The 14806-nt window shown below is 55.7% G+C and overlaps 1 protein-coding gene across 15 annotated transcripts in view, besides 2 other annotated features; it reads left to right on the plus strand.

The window, feature by feature from the left end:
• TBCD (tubulin folding cofactor D) overlaps nucleotides 1–14806 on the plus strand; it is a 193850-nt gene that overhangs the window by 24747 nt on the left and 154297 nt on the right. For 12 of the 15 annotated variants that reach the window (NM_005993.5, NM_001411102.1, NM_001437989.1 and 9 more), the window contains one exon: nucleotides 4778–4910. In NM_005993.5, coding sequence (NP_005984.3) covers nucleotides 4778–4910 — 133 coding nt within the window. Of the gene's footprint in view, nucleotides 1–4777; nucleotides 4911–5233; nucleotides 5258–6061; nucleotides 6249–6649; nucleotides 6904–14806 lie in introns of those variants that run through there. The other 3 variants (XM_047436618.1, XM_011523589.3, XM_011523591.3) reach the window with 3 other exon arrangements.
• Nucleotides 10702–10751: an enhancer, noted in NCBI's record as "active region_13015". NCBI's record gives its function as "activates an Ori minimal core promoter by ATAC-STARR-seq in GM12878 lymphoblastoid cells {active_cell/tissue: GM12878}" and the evidence as "EXISTENCE:reporter gene assay evidence [ECO:0000049][PMID:35858748]".
• Nucleotides 12982–13483: an enhancer, noted in NCBI's record as "H3K4me1 hESC enhancer chr17:80747669-80748170 (GRCh37/hg19 assembly coordinates)". NCBI's record gives its function as "activates a minimal SCP1, AML or CMV promoter by ChIP-STARR-seq in naive H9 embryonic stem cells {active_cell/tissue: H9 hESC(naive)}" and the evidence as "EXISTENCE:reporter gene assay evidence [ECO:0000049][PMID:30033119]".

Here is a 14806-nt window from a genome sequence, read left to right on the forward strand (position 1 = left end):
CAGTGCTTTGGTGGCCGAGGCAGCCCCAGGAACACCCCACCCCCAAATTGGATTAAACATGGTGTCGCTGATTGCAGGTATTTAATTGGCATCACGCTGATTGCCCTCACCTTAGGTGTTACATACTCCGCTTCGTGACCTGACTCTGCGTGTCTGTGGGCTCCTTGGGGCCTTTTCTTCCCCACGAGTGTGAGTTTCCTCCGGTGAAGGGCGATGGGTATTGCCCCAGGTGGTTGTTGGCCTTTTCCTTTTTTTTTGGACCAAAGTTTTAATTTTAATGTCAAACCGTTTTTTTCTCCTTTATTTAGTTATTTTTACTTTTAAGCCTGCAGTCTTATTAAGAGATTTAACAAGTAGTCATTTATATTTTTCTCTACCGTTTATTAAGACAGAATTATTGATTCATTTGGGGTTTCTTTTGGTCTACAGTAGAACCCCGCCCTTCCCAGTAGGTAACCAGTTGCTTTAGTGCCATTTTGTGTCTGTAGGGACCAGCACCACAAGGTCGGTGGGTTTCTCCCTGTGTGTGGAGATGAGAGAGTGTAGAAATAAAGACACAAGACAAAGAGATAAAAGACAGCTGGGCCCGGGGGACAACTACCACCAAGTTGCAGAGACCGGTAGCGGCCCCGAATGCCAGGCTGCACTGATATTATTGGATACAAGACAAAGGGGCAGTGTAAGGAATGTGAGCCATCTCCAACGGTAGGTAAGGTCTCGTGGGTCACGTGTCCACTGGACGGGGGGCCCTTCCCTGCCTGGCAGCCGAGGCAGAGAGAGAGAGAGGAGAAGGAGATAAACAGCTTACATTATTATTTCTGCTTATCAGAGACTTTTCACTAATTTGCTACTGCTAACTAAACGGCAGAGCCAGGTGTACAGGATGGAACGTGAAGGCAGACTAGGAGCGTGACCACTGAAGCACAGCATCACAGGGAGACGGTTAGGCCTCCGGATAACTGCGGGCGAGCCTGACTGATGTCAGGCCCTCCACAGGAGGTGGAGGAGTAGAGTCTTCTCTAAACTCCCCCGGGGAAAGGGAGACTCTCTTTCCCGGTCCGCTAAGTAGCGGGTGTTTTTCCTTGACACTAACGCTACCGCTAGACCACGGTCCGCTTGTCAACAGGCGTCTTCCCAGACGCTGGCGTTACCGCTAGACCAAGGAGCCCTCTGGTGGCCCTGTCTGGGCATAACAGAAGGCTCGCACTCTTGTCTTCTGGTCACACCTCACTATGTCCCCTCAGCTCCTATCTCTGTATGGCCTGGCTTTTCCTAGGTTATGATTATAGAGCGAGGATTATTATAATATTGGAATAAAGAATAATTGCTACCAACTAATGATTAATGATATATATAATCATATCTAAGATCTGTATCTGGTATAACTATTCTTGTTTTATATTTTATTATATTGGAACAGCTCGTGTCCTTGGTCTCTTGCCTCGGCACCTGGGTGGCTTGCCGCCCACAGTATTCCGCTTTTCCATTCATTTCTAATGCTCTGTGGGAACTCTGTGCGTTTTAAAGGGAACACGGTTTGTCACCACCTTAATGCTGCTTCCTTCTGCGATGAAGTTAACTGCCCTGGGCCCCTTTTGCAGATCCGCTAAAGTTAACTCTCCTGGGGAGGACACATGAGTTTCTTTTTTCTTTCCTTTTCTTTTCGAGACAGGGTCTCACTCTGTTGCCCAGGCGCGAGTGCAGTGGCGTGATCACAGTTTACTGCAACCTCCATCTCCTAGGCTCAAGCAATCCTCCCACCTTAGCCTCCCCAGTAGCTGGGACTGCAGGCGCATGCCACGACACCCAGCCAATTTCTTTTTCTTTTTTTTTTTTTGAGACGGAGCTTTGCTCTTGTTGCCCAGGCTGGAGTGCAGTGGCGTGATTTTGGCTCTACTGGAGTGCAATGGCGTGATCTCAGCTCCACTGAACCTCTGCCTCCCTGGTTCAAGTGATTATCCTGCCTCAGCCTCCTGAGTAGCTAGGATTACAGGTGTGCGCCAGCACCCCTGGCTAATTTTTGTATTTTTAGTAGAGACGGGGTTTCACCATAGTGGCCAGGGTGGTCTCAAACTCCTGACCTCAGGTGATCCACCCGTCTTGACCTCCCAAAGTGTTGGGATTACAGGCATGAGCCACTGCGCCCGGCCATGCCTGGCTAATTTTTGTATTATTTTCTAGAGATGGGGTTTATTTATTTATTTATTTATTTATTTATTTTTACGGGGTCTTGCTCTGTTGCTAGGCTGGAGTGCAATGGTGAGATCTCGGCTCACTGCAACCTCCGCCTCCTGAGTTCAAGTGATTCTCATGCCTCAGCCTCCCGAGTAGCTGGGATTACAGGAATGCGCCACCATGCCCAGCTAATTTTTTAATATTTTTAGTAGAGATGGGGTGCAAGACAGGCTGTTCTCGAACTTCTGACGTCGTGATTCACCTGCCTTGGCCTCCCAAAGTGCTGGGATTACGGGCTTGAGCCACTGCGCCTGGCCAAGATGGGGGTCTTACCATGTTTACCAGGCTGGTCTTGAACTCCTGAACTCAAGCTATTCACCCACCTCCGCCTCCCAAATTGCTGGGATTACAGGGGTGAGCCACTGTGCCCAGCCAAATGATTCTTTACTTTCTGGAAATAGGGACTTCTTTCCCCATTGTTCATGCTGAGCCCCTCCCTAAGCATGCTCCACAGGGACAGTGGCGGAGGGGAGAGGTCCTTGCTGTTACGAGCAGTTGGCAGGTGCCAGCCGTCCTGTCAGCTGGGCAGCGCTTCTGTTTTGTGAGGGCCATGACCGAGTAGGATGGCACGTGCGTGGCTGTCTCCTGTGTGTTAAGTGCCCTGAGAGGGCTTGTCCCCACGGAAGCATGGAGCCGGCTCTCGCGCAGGCCAACTAGATGGATGTGCTGGAACAAGGGCCGGGAAGGTGGGATGGCCGGAGTTGAAGTTGCAGTGGAGATGACGTGGGGGCCGGAGGGAGGTTGGGCGTCATAGCCTGGCAGCTCCAGCTTCCACGTCTCACCTTGCCTGGGGTCTCCACGTAGCTGTCTCGTGGGCGTCGCGTGGGGCACTCCCCCACGTGGACTCTTCCGCCTCCTGGCCCTCCCAAGTGTCCCTTCCGGGAGGTGGCCTTGTGGCTGTTGAGGGAGCGCCTGGTGCCTCCCTCCTGGCATCACTGCCGTCTCCTTCCCCCCACCCCATAAAGGTGTGGCTAGGATGCCAGTCAGACCTGCCGGCATGGCCTAAAGAGGAGGTGGGCAGGCTTGGCCAGTACTGGTCCTGTCCCCAGCACCTCTCCCACTCGGCTGCTCTGCTTCGACCATGTTGCCTTTGCAGTTCGCGAGTTCCCTTGGCTCCCTTCTGCCCTGGGCCCTGGCTCTCCTGCTTCCCTGGGCAGCAGCACTTTCCTCCCAGGTTTTGCAGCCCCCCTCGTTGAGCTCCGTGGCTTCCGTCCTCTCTCTAACGAGGCCATGCCCTCCCGTTTCCTTCGTAACTTTTCTTTGCACTGTGGAAGTCCCCAGCTGTTTGTCGTTTCTCTCCAGAGTGTCAGCTGTGGGAGGGAAGGGCCTTGTCTGTTCTCCGTGTGGCAGTGCCAGTCTCGATCATGGAGGCAAGCTGGGGGCCTGGCCTATGAACTCCTGGTGGAGAAATCAGGAGGATCTGGGCTAATTAGCTGGGCATGGTGGCGTGCGCTTGTAGTCCCAGCTACTCGAGAGGCTGAGGCAGGAGAATTGCTTGAACCTGGGAGGCAGAGGTTGCAGTGAGTCAAGATCACACCACTGCATTCCAGCCTGGGTGACAGCACAAGACTCCATCTCAAAAAAAAGGAAGACTTGGGCTTTTTTTTTTTTTTTTTGAGACAGAGTCTTGTTCTGTCTCTCAGGCTGGAGTGCAGTGGCACAATCTTGGCTCACTGCAACCTCCGCCTCCCGGGTTCACGCGATTCTCTGGCCTTAGCCTCCTGAGTAGCTGGGATTACAGGCGCACAGCACCACACCCGGCTAATTTTTTGTGTATTTTTAATAGCGACAGGGTTTCACTATGTTGGCCAGACTGGTCTCGAACTCCTGACCTCGTGATCCGCCCTCCTCGTCCTCCAAAGTGCTGGGATTACAGGCATGAGCCACTGCGCCCGGCCAGATTTGGGCTTTTGGTTTGGGAGCTCTGTGTGCTCAAGGTGTCCTGCGCTGAGGCCGGGCTGCAAGAGGGGTGGGGAGTGTGAGCACTGCCTGGAACACGAGGCCGAGTCCAACAGGGAAGACTTTCATGGGGCTACACGAGCAGCTGGCTGTGGAAACAGGCCTGTGCACAAGACGCATGGCAGGTGTGGGGGAGGGAGGTCCCAGGGGCTGGGGCCCAGCTGCCGGGGCCAGGCCTTGCACGTGGGCACGGTGTCCTGAGGTCAAGGGATGCAGAGTTGGGTCCAGGGAGGAGGGAGGGGCTGAGAAGTGGGCAGGGGCTCCCTGGCGGTGATGGGGACAGGTAAAACTGGGGGGGTGGAGGGGGCAGGCGGGGGGGGATGGGCAGTAGGCCTGCGACCTGAGAGGTTGTGGTGGGGAACCGGCTGCTGAGGGCCCTGGTCAGGGCAGCGACTTGGTTTCTAGGGTTGGAGAGAGGAGGAACTAGCTGGAGGAGGACAGGACTCAGTACAGAGCTGGCATCTTGGTGTAAGGGTGCGTGAGGTGGGAGGGCCTGGGGAGGTGGGTGTGTGTGGGGTGGGCTGGTGAGGCGTGGGCGAGGTCTCAGTGCTGAGGCCTTGGTTGAGCTGTATCCTTTTGGCAGATTTATCACACGTCCTGATGTCAAGCAAAGCAAGATGGCTGAGTTCCTGGACTGGAGCCTGTGCAATCTGGCCCGTTCCTCCTTCCAGACCATGCAGGGGGTCATCACCATGGATGGGACGCTGCAGGCCCTGGTAAGTGCTGCCCGCAGGGGCTGTGGAGATCGCAGGGAAATGGCGCCTTACATGGGGACCACGGAATGATGTTACCTGTGATTCCATCTTGACGTAATTGGAACCCCGTGGGATTGATTTAACCGGGCCAGGGTCTTGGGCAGTTTCCTTTTCCCTCTGCTTTGGGTCCTGCCTCAGGCAGGGCTGGTTTCTGCGCTGGTGCTGGTGGATGGGCTTGGAGCCCCACCTGTTGCCAGCAGAGGGCAGTGGTGCCACGCAGCCGGGGCTCCCCAGGGTAGGTTTCTCTGCATCTGGGCTGCTTAGTTCCTGTTTAAGTGCAGAGACTGAACGAGCTCTAATAAAACAAGGTGGGTGAGTTGAAATTTGATTCTGTTCCTTTGCACTGGGCTCGGGTTGGATGTTCCTGACTGCTTCGTTGGGACACAGACCCTGGCCTCTGCCTGCAGGTGCCTGGTTAGTGCCCTGGCTGCAGCCCTTTGCCAGCCCTTTCCCTGCCCTTTCGCTCTGATTGTCTCTTGTGTTACCTTTTCTTGTGCTAACGAGGAGGAAAGGTCAAGTCTCAGAAGAGGGCAAAGCCTCTTTTGGGTCAGCGTCCTGGAGGCTGCAGCTCCCTGGTCAGCCTTCTGGAGGGGGAGCCGGCAGCCGGCTGTGGCCTTTGGCGTGGTGGGTTCAGCGCCTTCTTCTCTCTTTAATTACAGCGGGTGAGGCTTTGAGAGCACTTCTCATCCTTGTCTCACGCTGTGGAGCCTGTGGTCCCTCTGAGGAGCGGGGCACTTTGTTCTTGTTTAAAAAATATATTTTATAGAGACAGGGTCTTGCTATGTAGGTCAGGGTGGTCTTAAACTCCTGGCCTCAAGTGATCCTCCTGCCTTTGTGATGATCCCAAAGTGCTGGGATTACAGGCTTGAGCCGCCGCGCCTGGAAGGACACTTTGGAGCGCGTTTTAGGGGAGATGATGAGTGCCACCTCGCCACGGCGTCCTCCTGTCCGTGGCGTCGTCCTCCTGTCCGCAGCATCGTCTTCCTATCCGCGGCATTGTCTTCCTATCCGCGGCGTTGTCTTCCTGTCTGTGGCGTCGTCCTGTCTGCGGTGGCGTCGTCCTGTCTGCGGTGGCGTCCTCCTGTCCGCAGAGGCGTCCTCATGTCCTCAGTGTTGTCTTCCTGTCCATGGCGTTGTCTTCCTGTCTGCGGTGTCGTCTTCCTGTCCATGGCGGCCTCCTGTCCGCGGTGCCCTCCTGTCCATGGTGGCCTCCTGTCCGCTGTGCCCTCCTGTCCGCGGCGTCGTCTTCCTGTCTGTGGTATCATCTTCCTGCCCGCGGTTTTGTCCTGGCCGTGGCAGGTTCTGCCAGGGAGCGGGAGGCTGTCAGCTGGGTGGAGGGGGGCTGTGGGAGTGATAGCCTGGGGTGGGGGCATACGTTTCTTGAGGGGGAATTGGGAAGTGTCCTCCTCAATGTCTGCTGCTTCCCGGTCATGCTGCCGTGGTCTTCAGGAGGGCAGCCTTTGAAATGAGGAAAAGGTTTCAGACGTGTGAGAGAAAACTGCAGACGTGTTTCCTGGAGCCTGTGCTCTGCCCAGGTGATGTCTGTTTTCTTCAGGCGTCCCCTCAACCTCCACATAAATGTGACAGATTCAGCAGTTTTCAAAAATCAAGATATAATTCACATACCACAAGTAATTTATCCTTCTAAGGTAAACAATTCTGTAGTTTTCTGTGCGGTCATCACCATTATCTAACTTCAGGACACTGTCATCATCGTGAGAGAAACCTTGATTGCACCGAGCAGTCCGTCCCTCACCTTCCCCAGCCCCTGCAGCCGTGGATCCATGTGCTGTCCCTGTGGACTTGCTGGTTGCGGACATCTCACCTCACCAGAGTCGTACACGACACAGCCTTTTGCGTCTGGCCTTCACTGAGCCCGATGTGTCCAAGGTTCATCTGCGCTGTGGTGTTGTCAGTGCCTCGTTCCCTTTATGGCCGAATCATAAGCCAACGTGTGGGTATTTTCCATATGCCAGCGTGTGGGTATTTTCCATATGCCAGTGTGTGGGTATTTTCTGCTCTTACAAATTACGCTGTGAAGAACTTTCATGTGCAAGTTTTTGTTTAAACTTAATGCTTTCAGGCCGGGCGCGGTGGCTCATGCCTATAATCCCAGCACTTTGGGAGGCCGAGGCAGGCAGATTACTTGAGGTCGGGAGTTCGAGACCAGCCTGGTCAACGTGGTGAAACCCCATCTCTACTAAAAATGCAAAAAATAGCCAGGCATAGTGGCGTGGGCCTGTAATCCCAGCTACTCCGGAGGCTGAGGCAGGAGAATTGCTTGAACCTGGGAGGCGGAGGTTGAGTGAGCCGAGATCATGCCACTGCACCCCAGCCTAGGTGACAGAGCAAGACTCTGCCAGAAAAAAAAAACAGAAAAAACAAACCCAACTTAATACTTTCAGTACCCTTGGGTACACAACACTAGTTTTTAATAAAATTTTAAACAAAATTTGGAATGTTTTCATCTTTCTGGAGTCTTTCTAAAAAGATTTTTCTGGTGGCATACCTGTCGTACTGATGAAATAGAGGACCTCCTCATGCCAGGCATTTTTGGGCATTGCAGGTACAGATGTGCTGTCTGTGTCCCCAGGTGCCCCTCGTTCCGGCCGTGCTGGGGCAGCATCCTCAATGCCTAAAGAGGATTCATTGCTATCGTGGAGGTCAGGGCAGGCTGAGGCTGGCCTTGAAGGGTACGGGGGTGGAGGGGTAGGGCAGGGAGGACTCAGGTCTCGGACGTACCCACTGTGCCATTGGTCCATGGATCCTCAGGGAATGTGCGTTTTATGTTTTAGGCAATTCTGGTAAAGGTGGTGGATTTAGTTGCAATTGGATTCTTCATTTTTTGCCTTGGGTCTCACTGAGGAAACATGAAGAAGGGGTAGATGGCAGTGGCCAGGGTGGGGGTCCTGGGAATTCTGGTAGCTTCACCTTAATGTTTGTGATGCTGGGTGTACAGACAGCCTCCCACATGACCAAGGACACGCTCTTAGGTCCCTAAGACCCCAGAAGAATGGGCCGCTACTGCCAAGAAGTATGACATGCGTGTGGAAGACCATGAGCCTTACCCGGCTGGTGGCATGGGGTGTGGCAACTGCCGCAGCTCCCCGAACCATTGCAGTGGGAAAGGGGTACGTGCTGTGACTAAGACCACTGGACCCGACCCATCGCAGCGACAGGGGGTCCATGCTGTGTGACTGAGACCACTGGACCCCACCCATCGCAGCGGGAGGGGGGTCCATGCTGTGTGACTGGGACCACTGGATCCCACCCATCGCAGCGACAGGGGGTCCATGCTGTGTGACTGAGACCACTGGACCCCACCCATCGCAGCGGGAGGGGGGTCCATGCTGTGTGACTGGGACCACTGGACCCCACCCATCGCAGCGGGAGGGGGGTCCATGCTGTGTGACTGGGACCACTGGATCCCACCCATCGCAGCGACAGGGGGTCCATGCTGTGTGACTGAGACCACTGGATCCCACCCATCGCAGCGGGAGGGGGGTCCATGCTGTGTGACTGGGACCACTGGACCCGACCCATCGCAGCGGGAGGGGGGTCCATGCTGTGTGACTGGGACCACTGGATCCCACCCATCGCAGCGGGAGGGGGGTCCATGCTGTGTGACTGGGACCACTGGACCCGACCCATCGCAGCGGGAGGGGGGTCCATGCTGTGTGACTGGGACCACTGGACCCGACCCATCGCAGCGGGAGGGGGGTCCATGCTGTGTGACTGGGACCACTGGATCCCACCCATCGCAGCGGGAGGGGCGTCCATGCTGTGTGACTGGGACCACTGGACCCGACCCATCGCAGCGGGAGGGGGGTCCATGCTGTGTGACTGGGACCACTGGACCCGACCCATCGCAGCGGGAGGGGGGTCCATGCTGTGTGACTGGGACCACTGGATCCCACCCATCGCAGCGGGAGGGGGGTCCATGATGTGTGACTGGGACCACTGGATCCCGTCCATCGCAGCGGGAGGGGGGTCCATGCTGTGTGACTGGGACCACTGGATCCCGCCCATCGCAGCGGGAGGGGGGTCCATGCTGTGTGACTGGGACCACTGGACCCGACCCATCGCAGCGGGAGGGGGGTCCATGCTGTGTGACTGGGACCACTGGACCCGACCCATCGCAGTGGGAGGGGGTCCATGCTGTGACTGGGACCACCTGGCCTGAGGTTGGACTGGTGAAATGACAATGTTGGCACCTACATGTGTGTCAGGATCCATGTGGATATGTCCCGCACACCTGCTTCTTGGAATATTGTGTAAGCAGCTCTTCAGCTTCACGGCCTTCATGATCGTGTTCTGGGTGGGGAAGAATTAACCAGCCTACCAGCCCGTGGGGCCAAAGCAGTGTCCTTATAATCATCTGCACCTGGAACCAGGTGGCGATCCCACCGTAGAACCTGTGGCTCACAGGATCTGAGGTGGCTTCGAGGGCTTCTCTGCCCTCTAGGATTCCCTCATCCTTAGAAATTTAACCTTAATGAAATCCCTAATAAAACTCAGTGCTGTGGGGGAAAAACATCTCAGGTCAGGGGAGCAAATGGGAGGTCTAACAGGATGTGACCAGAGCTGGTTGTCTCCAATGGCTCTGCCCCGAGTGTGGTGCCTCTGCAGGGGAGGCCGTTAGCCCTGCCCCGAGTGTGGGTGCTGCTTTGGGAGGGGAGGCAAATTTGATCTCTGTCCGGTCTCTTAACGGGCTTCTAGGGGTCTCCTGCAGCTCTCGTCAGCCTGGCCTGGGAGCCTCCCCTCCTCTGCCGTCCCCACCCCATGCTGTTGGGTCAGCAGGATATCCCAGCCTTGGGGCTGGAGCCAGCTGTGGCTGCCCAGGGACTTGCAGGCAGGTGAGGCGTGCCACCTTCTGGCCAGGCTGGCTGTGGGAGAGGCAGCCTCCTGGTGAGGGGCTGTGGGCCACTGCGTTCAGGCTGCCTTGGAGGGCTCCACGGTGTCCCCTGGGTGCAGGGCTCCGAGTCCTTCTCGGCTTGGGAGGGTCTTGTGGCCACATGTGTCTAGTTCTGCAGTTTCTTTGTTGTGGGTTCGGTTCTTTACTTTTTTTTTTTTTTTTTTTGATGATCTTGTTGGTTTTCTCTAGATTGTTCCCAAGTTTTCTGTTCTTCCATCCCAAGTGGGAGACACGTGTTGCACAGCCTGCATTTGGAATACCCAGAGGGTGGGTGGGCGGGACGGCTCGCTGCCCCATTCCCCTCCTAGCTGCTGGGACAGGTGGGAATTCCTGTAGCAAAGTCAAACCAGCCAGGAGTGGGGAAGTGCTTTTTATTTTGACATCTCCAAGTTCCACGTTGAGGTGGAGAGACATTCGTTTTTCCCCTTCCTCCCGAGGTGTAAAACGGTCTTCTCAAAGGCTTAGGAGAGCCGAGCCCTGTGCCACCCCCCGGCATATGCTGGCAAAGAGTGAGGCGTGCTGTCCTGCCGTTTAGGGCAGAGCACCCAGGCGGTTTGGCAGCAGCACCTCAGAACTATTCAGAGATTTGCCCTCAGCAAGAGTGAGCAATTGTCTGACGCAGCCGGCTGAAATCCCTGGGAAGGGAATGAATGAAACTGCCGTGAAGCAACGCCTGGCGGGGCCGGGCTTCTGGCAGCTCCTGGGGCCAGCACGTCCCTTCCAGAGCGTCTGAAGCCCTGGGCGGCTGCTGGAGCATCTCGAGTCTTTCCAGAGTCATGTGTGTTGTTTCCTTCTGTCTCTTGGAAGGGTCCGTTTGGTCTGATCCAGGTTGCCTCAGCAGGAGGAAGTCGTGCTGGGTGCTGAGCGGGTGGGAGGTTTCACCTTGGGCTTGGCAGAGCTGCAGGCAGAGGCCGGGCGCCTGCTGTACATGATGAAACTTGCAGGTGGATTCTGCTTAGGGTTTCATCTGTTTCCTTTGATGCACTTGGCTTCATTGTCATCCACCTGTTCATTACTGTGGGCGAAACAGGTGAACTCTCAACAAGTACCATCGAAACCAGGATTTGATCTTCATTTCCCTCGAAGCGTAGTTCCCTTGCAGTGAGGGTTTTTAACTCCTGTGGGAGGGAAGCAAGTGTTTGGCAATGTAATTTCCCTGGAAGGCCCCTGTACTTCAGCTTTAAAAACACGCTTTGGTTTAGTCCCAATTTAAGCATTAAGATTAATGCAAATTGAGGAAATTCAAGGAAGGAGAAAAACACATTAAAAATGGAAAATGGGCTGGGCACAGTGGCTCATGCCGGTAATCCCAGCGCTTTGGGAGGCCGAGGCAGGTGGATCACTTGAGGCCAGGAGTTTGATACCAGCCTGGCCAACATGGTGAAACCCTGTCTCTACTAAAAATACAAAAAATTAGTTGGGCATGGTGGTGCGCGCCTGTAATCCCAGCTACTTGGGAGGCTGAGGCAGGAAAATCGCTTGAACCCGGGAGGTGGAGGTTGCAGTGAGCCGACATGGCGCCACTGCATTCCAGCCTGGGCAACAGAGCAAGACTCCATCTAAAAAAAAATTTACAAAAAGGAAAATGGCTGTCATTTCATGTGTGACTCTGCTTGCTGATTGATAGTTGTGCTCTCTTGGTTTCTAGTGCTCTGATTGGAAGATTGTCGACTGTGTGGAGTGGGTTTCTCCCTGTGTGTTCTCACAATGGCTGGGAGGCGGCGGCGGGGCTGGGGGACTCGGACTGCGAGACGGGGCTGTTGACTATGAAAGTGGTAATAGGATGCTCTTCCCCTTATCGGCTGTTAGGCTCGAGTCTCCCCTTTGCAGTGCGGTTTCTTTTTATTTTTATCATTGACAAAAGCACAACTCTTGTTAAAGGATAAAATAGTCACACACAACAGCATTAAAAACCAAGAAAGCCAAAGAACGCTGGCACTGTCAGCCTCACTCCCAGCTCCCGCTCGGCCCTTGTGAAGAGAGGTGCTGAAGCCACTCTGCTTTTTTATAGTTAATAAAAGCAGCCAGGTCCCCAAGTAGGAGTGGTTGTGGCCAAGAGTGTGTGGGCCGGGAACCAGGGCTTGAGCTGCTGTGAGCTGTGCCCAGGCCCTTTGCTGACTCCGTCTCTCCTGTGACCTGAGGCCAGGGTGAGCACCAGCGCCCGCCCCACCTGGGAGGGAAGCAGCAGACCTCTCACCGCAGAGGCTGGTGTGAGGCTAATTAGCACAGTCAGTCTTTGAAGATGAAAGAAGACAGCTGATTATCTAAAACATTTCACATTTAGGCTTTGATTTCTCTTCAGATTTGGGGAACAGCACCCTACTGTTTCATTTAGGGTTCAGTGTGGCCAGAGGAAGATGACCCACGTGGTCCTTTTTAGTTGTAGTGCTCTCTTGGGGCAAGGTTTTGGATGGAGAAAATAGGACAAGAGCAGTTTGAATGTGGGTACTTTCCAGAGATCATGCTCCTGTAGCATTTGGGTGAAACGAGGTACCCCAGGCCACGCTGGTTCGGTCTCCTCGTGGCGTTAAGGAAAGACCTGGAGCAGCCAGCTCCTAACACTCATTTCCCATCACTCAGCATTTTATGTGGGGCGGGCACAGTGCCGTGAGTCTTACAGAAACCTGCATGGTGAGCCGCACGCCTTTGAGTCCCCATCAGCCCTGGCCCATCCCTGCTGAGGTGGCGCGACCTGCTCACAGACGTGTGCTCACAGGCAGCCCGTCGCGGGGTCATGTGCTAGACGGGGAGGGGGCTTGGCGGGTCACCAGCCTCACCCCGCTCAGTTCTTAGATGAGGAAGAGACAGGCAGAGAGCTGGGCTGGGCTGCTGCTGAGTGGGCTAGAGCTGGGTCTCAGTGGCCCCTGCCCCAGTCGTCCTGACCTGTGGCCCCTGTGCAGGTTGGGGTGCCCCTGCCCTCTCCCCTGCCCCGCCCTCACCTGGCTCACAGACCCGTGATGCCTCACTGCCCACGCAGTCACCTTAGAGGCACCTTCCCTCTAAGGCAGATGTCCCTCAGGCTTTGGTCCTGGCTGTTGATATCTCAGCTCTGATTCACCCTTGACCTTTATTACCTGATTTCTGTCCTTGGTTCTCGAGCCCTCCTTCTGTGGACCCGTTGGGTACACGTGTGACACTTCAGAACCCGCAAGTCCCAGGTCACACCTGTTGTACCATCACTTTCCCCTCCTGGCCTGTTTACCCGGGAGCCCAGCAACAAATGGGAGCTTCTGTGCTGCTGTCCGTGCATACGGCCCAGGAGCCGGGCTCATCCCCGAGACGCCGTGTTCCCTCCCGCTGTCCGCTCACACCTGCCTGTGTGGACGTGGCTCTGACATGTCTCCTTCCTGGTTCATTGCTCATCTGTTCTCATGTGGCTGCGCCGCCACCCTGTCCTGGGGGTCCTTGTCCCAGCACGTGGCTCTGTGCTTCACGTCATCCTGAGTCTGTCCCGCTCTGCCGCCTGGTCCAGGTGGGAGCCATTTCCTTCTGTGAAGTGTTCCCTCTGGAGGCCCTGGGCTCCCCGACTACCCTCCCGCCTCTCCTGTGGCTGTCGGCTGCAGTAAAGGTGCTGGTGGAGGGTGTGAGCCATCCATTCATAGAGTGCCAGACTCTGTCCCATGCTGCCTCTGTGCCCTTGATCCTGGCAGCACACCTGCTGTCCTGTGGCCTGCGTAAAGGGTGGCCTCGGAAGCCTGTGGCCTGGGTAAAGCGTGGCCTCGGAAGCTTGTGGCCTGGGTAGTGGGTGGCCTCATCTTGGCCTCGGAAGCAGGAGGGCTCAGGCTGTGGCCCACGCCTGGGGTTCCCCATCCCCCCGTGTGTCCTGGTGTCTTTGCTTGGCTCGCCGGCCTCCATGGGCTCCCCAGGTGGCAGGTGGCTCTCAGCCATGCTCTCCGTCCTCATGCTTGTTTCTGCCCTGGCAGAGCTGCTCAGTGGCCAGCCCGTGGGACCCCTGTGCACCCTGCCGCCCCCAGCATATGTCAGCAGCGCCGTCCGGGGGAGATGTGGCATCAGCACAGCCTTGTCCTTGTCTCTGCCCGTTCTTCCTTCCTTGCCTCTATGTGTCTGCTTTTTTCTCTTCCACATGGTGTCCACAGTGGATAACCACATCCACTGGCCTCCTGGTTGGTGGATCCTCCTCCTGCTGGGCTCAGAGCTGTGCCACCCCCACCTGCACTGCAGAGAAGCTCAGACCCCTCTCTGACCTCAGACGCTGGAGCCTGAGCCCCCTGCTTCCCAGGCCAATGCCCCTTCAGGTCCCTGCAAAGCCACTGCTCTTTGTGGTCTCCCTGCCGCCGTTGCCCTCCCTTTGCCGCTGAGCCCGTGGGCTGCTTGGTGGCTTGGGAGCTGCATACAATTCTATTTTGTCTGGTTTGTTTTCAGGCTTTCTGTGGCAGGAATTGTGTCTCTTGCATCTTTTTTTTTTTTTTTTTTTAGACGGAGTCTCGCTCTGTTGCCCTGGCTGGAGTGCAGTGGCGCGATCTCGGCTCACTGCAAGCTCCGCCTCCCGGGTTCACGCCATTCTCCTGGCTCAGCCTCCTGAGTAGCTGGGACTACAGGCACCCTCCACCACGCCTGGCTAATTTTTTTGTATTTTAGTAGAGATGGGGTTTCACCGTGTTAGCCAGGATGGTCTCGATCTCCTGACCTCGTGATCTGCCTGCCTCGGCCTCCCAAAGTGCTGGGATTACAGGCGTGAACCACTGTGCCCGGCCATGGATCATTAACCTCTTTTCTAGCATCTTACCTCTGTGGTGGTTCACTTTTGCGAGCTTTTGCTGGGCCTTGGAAGGTGCGTGGGCTCGCTGCTCCTCTCTTCTGTGGGAACTGTTGCCTTTGGGCAGGGGGCACACCCCAGAGGTGGTCACACACACCTGAACGGGAGCACAGTCATAAGTCCCTGTCATGCAAAGATGGGCTGTGCAGAATGAGCTCGGAATAG

The sequence above is a fragment of the Homo sapiens genome, chromosome 17, assembly GCF_000001405.40.
Source record: "Homo sapiens chromosome 17, GRCh38.p14 Primary Assembly".
Taxonomy (NCBI): Eukaryota; Metazoa; Chordata; class Mammalia; order Primates; family Hominidae; genus Homo; species Homo sapiens.